This window comes from Homo sapiens, chromosome 9 (genome assembly GCF_000001405.40).
Source record: "Homo sapiens chromosome 9, GRCh38.p14 Primary Assembly".
Lineage (NCBI taxonomy): Eukaryota > Metazoa > Chordata > Mammalia > Primates > Hominidae > Homo > Homo sapiens.
The window spans coordinates 133,223,256-133,229,132 of NC_000009.12; the positions used below are offsets into that span (position 1 = coordinate 133,223,256).

Consider the following 5,877-nt stretch of genomic DNA (forward strand, 5'->3'; position numbering starts at 1 on the left):
TAGGCTGGTGGGGGAAGACACAGCCATAGGAATGACTGTGGGACGGAGGCTTATTACACTTAGGCCCCTAGAAACAGGAGGGGCGGGGCCTCACGGAAGCACCAGGGCCTGTCTGGAGGCACCGGGCGGAGCCTGCACTGCGGTTCCCACGTTTCCCACGGGAAGGAACGGAGGAAGCAGGGTAAACAGGCTCAGGGCGGGCTGGTTTCAATAATGTCCCGGGCCCTGGGGTGTGGGGGCTGGCTGTCCCTAGCTGTCTGGTCCCTGCCCTGGGGAGGGTGTGGGCTCTGGACTGGTTGGTTTGCATATGGAAGGCACACTTACAGATGGTCCCTGCCCTGGGGAGGGTGTAGGCTCTGGACTGGTTACCGGTTTGCATATGGAAGGCACACTTACAGACAAGTCATCTGCTATTTCTAGAAATTAGCCAACTCCTGGAGAAGCACTTTCTCCAGGGTTAGCAAGGCCCCAGATGTCAAAGTGTCCAAATTCAGAAAGTAAAGGCCATGGTTCACACAGAGAGGGTGTCGGAGACAGGTCGCGCAGTCATTTGAAGAGCAAATTACTGTAAAGAATCCCCAGCTGGTAACAGGAGAGGGGCTACCAACGGGTAAAGAGGACTCTCAAACCACAGAAATAACAGAAATGGGAGCCAGCTCTACCCCAGGGCTGAGGCTGCACACCGGGGTAGGAACAACCTGGAAGGTGCTCAGGCCTCTGTGGAGAGGGTCTTGCTCTGTCCCCCAGGCTGGAGTGCAGTGACATGATCATAGCTCATTGCAGCCTCGACCTCCTGGGCTCAAGCAATCCTCCCACTTCAGCCTCCCAAGTATCTGGGATTACAGGTGTGCACCAGCAAGCCTGGCTAATTTTTGGGTTTTTTTTGGTAGAGCTGGGGTCTCGCTATGTTGCCCAGGCTGGTCTCCAACTCATAGCTTCAAGTGATTCTCTCACCTCAGCCTCCCAAAGTGCTGGGAACACAGGCATAAGCCACCATGCCTGGCCAGAATTGAGTTTTTTTTAATATATATATACACATATATATACACACACACACACATACACACATATATACACACATATATGTATATATATACACATACACATATATATATACATATATACACATATATATATTTTTATTATACTTTAAGTTCTAGGGTACATGTGCACAACATGCAGGTTTGTTACATATGTATACATGTGCAATGTTGGTGTGCTGTACCCATTAGCTCGTCATTTACATGAGGTATTTATCCTAATGCTATCCCTCCCCCTACCCCCCACTCCACGACAGGCCCCGGTGTGTGATGTTCCCCTTCCTGTGTCCAAGTGTTCTCATTGTTCAATTCCCACCTATGAGTGAGAACATGCGGTGTTTGGTTTTTTGTCCTTGTGATAGTTTGCTGAGAATGATGGTTTCCAGCTTCATCCATGTCCCTACAAAGGACATGAACTCATCATTTTTTATGGCTGCAGAGTATTCCATGGTGTATCTGTGCCACATTTTCTTAATCCAGTCTATCATTGTTGGACATTTGGGTTGGTTCCAAGTCTTTGCTATTGTGAGTAGTGCCGCAATAAACATACCCCAGGGCTTCTTGAAGCGCCACTGAGCCCCAGGGCTGGATTTTCTCAAATGTCCTCTAAAGTTGTTCGCTCACCCTAATCGCTCCCTGGAGAGCAGGTTTCTGCAGCAAAAGGAAGCACAGGCGAGTCAGGAGACCCCAGGAATGCAGTCAGGACCGGGGCCCCTCATCAGCCACCAACTCCACCACCCCAGGAAGGACAAAGCCAGAATTAGACACAGTACAGTTACGCGCCCGTGCAATGCAGCTCTGCTGACGTCCCCATGCGGGGACATGGGGGGCTCTGCAGGGCCATGCCTCCTACCGCTCTGCCTGGGGATGAGGATGCTCTCCGTGCTGAGTCCACGGGCTCCTGCAGCTTTCTCAAAGTCCTCCAAGGCTTCCAGGTTGTTCTCGGGGTCTCTGCCTGTGGGTGCCAGGACGAGATGCGGGTGCTCAAGGCAGCACTGGGCAGACGGCACCCCGTCCCAGCCTGGAGGCCTGAGCTAGCCTGGGGAGAGGGACCTTGCCCACGGTGGGGGGACTTGAACCCAGAGGTCCTCAGGCTGGCAAAGTGGGACCAGGGTGCCGTGCACGGCTGAGAAGGCTCCCGCAGCAGCAGAACCGGGAGAACGGGAAGGGCTCTCCGTCCATCCCCAAGCATCTCCCGGAGTGAGAATGGACTGCGGGACAGGCCCGCCCTGGAGGAAGCGCCTCTCCCCTCGGGGGCACCAGGGCACCGCCTGTCCCATTCCTCTGTCATTCACACACCCCTGGCTCCAGGGAGAACTCAGGAGCCTTCACGGGCCTCGTCCTCCGACAGGGACGGCACTGATGCGCCACCGTCTGTGGGAGCCACCGCGTCTGGAATTCAACCCCGGGAGCTGGAACGTTCTTTCCACGCAGACTCCTGCTCACATCCCCATTCCTCTCCCCTGCTGGACACCCCACAGGAACGCGCTCAAGGATGACACTGCAGGGAGCTGCCCCGGGGGAAGGCCTGGGCCACTCTGGGACACGTGTGACCTTTGAGCCCCTGTGCCGACAGCTGTGGCTCCTTCCTGCCTCTGTTGCAGAGACCGAGGCCGGGGCATCCCAAATCCTGAACTCCAGGGTGGGAATTGGGGCCTTTATCAGGAAAACTCATCCTAAGGAAACTGCAGTGTGTTCCTGGGTCCCAGTGGCTTCTCCCATGGGGAAGAGGGTGCAGGAAGCCGAGGGAGGAGGGAGGGTGGGTGGAGGCATGGGTTGCAGGGTGGGGGTACGGGACCCACCCACGAGCTTCGCCCCTCGGATCGGCTTCCCGTGCAGCTCACCCTCACAGTAAAAGATGTAGTGGTCCTTCATGTGCGACCTGATGATGTATGCCACGTGCTTGCCCCTGTCTGCAGAAGGACAGCAGCATAGTCCTGAATTAGCCACCGGGGCCTTCAGAGAGGATCCCGGGACAGTGTGCGTTGCCAGGCCCTGCAAGCCCCGCAGCTCCTGCACCCTTCCAGCCTCCCAGAGCTCCCTGACCCAGGTTCCCCACTGGGCCTGAGCCCTAGGCCATGGGACCCCCACTTCCCAGGAACCTGATGCACCCGAGAGGTGGCCACATCTCAAACCAGTGAGTCACGGGGGGTTCCTCCGGGTGTGAGGTCTGCGGAGGTGGGAGTTGGGGTACAGCCCCCCGCAGCCAAATATGACTCTGCTCCTGGCCCTGCCAGAGCCGCAGCTAGGGCTACAGGGAAAGCCCAGAGGGTCCACCCAGGGACAAACCCGTCACACCTGGTGTTTGGGGTCAGGTGTTCACATTTCTAAAGCAAATTGACCAGTGGGAGAGGAAAGTGGGCTTTTAGTGGAGTCAGGGGCAGCAGGCCAAAAGGCCACCCCAAAAAGGCACTGGCTACCCCCCCACATCCAGCGTGTGTTTGAGTTTAGGCTCTGGCTTAGGCTCCGGGACTCACTGGCCGTGTATTTTCCCGGCTCGTCAGTTTTCTCCAGGATGACCTTCACCTCCTGGCACTGGCCACTTATCCTGGAAAACAGAAGCCCCCTGGCAAAGCGGCCCTGACCTGTGCCTCCCCCGGCCCTGGAGCAGCCACGCTACAATGCCCTGCAAAGGTGGCCCTGAGTCTGCCACAGGCCCATGGAGGAGGATGCTTCTCTGCATCTCAGACCCAGGCACCAGCAGCCCCTCCGGGTCACACATGGCAGTTCCCGGGGTCTCCTGAGGTGGCCAGGAGCTCTGCATCGCTCCTCCTGGTGGCTGCCTTCCCAACCCCCCCGCCCCCAACACATTTCCTGCCAGATGCACCCGGGCTGCCTGGTTTGTAGGCAGTGTCTGTGGCGTGGGCCTGAGCCTCATCCCACCAGCTGCATTCTTCCTTTTAGAGACATTCAGGGACAGGCCCCATACCCATCATCATCTGGCCCAGAGAGGGAAAGGTTCAGTGAGGGGCTTTTGGGGAAAAAAAAAAATCAGGGTCATTGCCAGGGTCAGTGACTTCCTAAGGGTCAGCCCCCAGGACCGGAGCACAGGCACTGCATGCCACTCAGGTGGGAGCCACGCGGGTGAAATCACACAGGTGGGAAGTCACAGATGTGAGCCACGCGGATGGAAGCAGCACAGGTGAGAGCCGCACAGGTGAGCGCTACACAGGGACTTCAAGGGGGTCTTCTCCATGGTGTCCTATGCCCCCTCTTGGTCATTCTGCAAGCCCCATCCCTGCGCTTCTCCAAAGCAGAAATTTACTGCCAAGACTACAAGTCTAGAGTCTGTAAGCCCTGCCTGCTGGCTCTGACTCTGATCGGGGGTAAACACCTTTTCCCAAAGGGGCCTGCACGGCACCACACATTCCCTAGTCGGAGGAGGTGGTGGGTGGTACCCAGCACTGCCCCTGATAGCCCACAGGGGCCTCTACTCCCTCAGGTCCCCTCTAGCTGAGGCACCTCACTGGCACAGTTTGCCCTCAAGCATTGCCTGAGCAGGCAGGGCTGAGAGAGGCCTCCCAGCAGGTCTGCCCACCTCCCCAGCACCAGAGCTCTCCTGGGTGGGGAAAGGGAAGGCCCTAGACCAGGTTGCAGGCTGCCCGGCCGGCTGGCAGACACTCACAGCATGGTGGCCTTAGCTTCCAGGTTGCCCCCTTCCAGGATTGTGAGGGTCATGGGTGTCACCGATTCCAGATTCATCTCAGGGAGCTCCCTGTCCACCGTCATGGCCTTCAGATACCACGTCCCTGACACCTGGAGAAAGTTCCTCTCTATCAGGCTCAGGCTGACCGCTCCAGAGCCTCCCCCTTCCCTGGCCTGCAGCCCCCAGACTCTACCGCACCCCAAGGGCTGGAGATGGGGAACATTCCCCAATCTAATCCACCCAGAAAACACCCAGCACCCTCGCCAGGTCCACCCGAAGGCTCCAGCCCCCGCAAGTTGGCCAGGACCACAGGAGCCCTCACCCCCAGGAGAGAAGTGAAGTCAGCCAGACCCCCACCCTCCTAGCCCTGCCCTTCTGCACCCCGGCCCCCTCCCAGCCCAGACTCCTGCTGTCCCATCTCACCATCTTTCAGGGCAGGGCTTTAATGCCCAACCTGAAAATGAGGGTCTCCTTGGATGGGGGAGGGATGTGGTCTCCATCCAGCAGTCTCAGCCTCGCCCCTTGCCCCCTCCAGCCCAGCCTTCCCATCCGGGCCTCACATCCTGAATCTCCTCGTCTGAGGCCAGGAGGTGGTGGGCCTGCAGGGCAGCAATGAGGCTGAGGCTGATGGCCAGGAGCAGGGGCTTCATCTCTGGTGTCTGAGTTCACGGCCGCCTGACAGTTCACTTGCTGGGGCTGGGAGAGGGTGTGCCACTCCCACAGCCGCCCTTTTTACAGCTGGGCTCAGGATCCCCTGGGGACCTAGCACAGGTGACTGACCAATCCCTTCCTGGATGTAAACCACGGCCAGTTCTGCAACGGAGCAGATAACGTGCCATTGTTGCTGGAGGCTGGTGAATAACAGCTTGTTAATTCCAGAGGATCATCCGGACAGGACCAGGTCCAGAGGAGCGGGTTTGCAGATTTCACCTGGGAGGAAACTGAAGGGAGTGAAGGGCGTGCAGGCCTCCTGGGGACATGTGCGGCAGTAACAGGCGCCCCCCAGCCATCCCACATGCGCTGATGTGCACACCGTCAAGGGGGTTTGGGGTTGGAGTCCGAGGGCCGTGGGCCTGGGGCTCGGCTGAGCTTCCTGCATCTCTGGGCAGGTTACTTGGCCTCAGATTCATCATGGAAAAAAAGGGACCCTCCTGTGTGAACACGATACCGTGTGCATTTAAGGACGGTGTC

At 58.0% G+C, this 5,877-nt stretch overlaps 1 pseudogene, besides 1 other annotated feature; it reads right to left on the reverse strand.

The window, feature by feature from the left end:
* LCN1P1 (lipocalin 1 pseudogene 1) lies at positions 1,650 to 5,392 on the reverse strand (annotated as a pseudogene).
* Positions 4,078 to 5,033: an enhancer, noted in NCBI's record as "H3K4me1 hESC enhancer chr9:136102720-136103675 (GRCh37/hg19 assembly coordinates)". NCBI's record gives its function as "activates a minimal SCP1, AML or CMV promoter by ChIP-STARR-seq in primed H9 embryonic stem cells {active_cell/tissue: H9 hESC(primed)}" and the evidence as "EXISTENCE:reporter gene assay evidence [ECO:0000049][PMID:30033119]".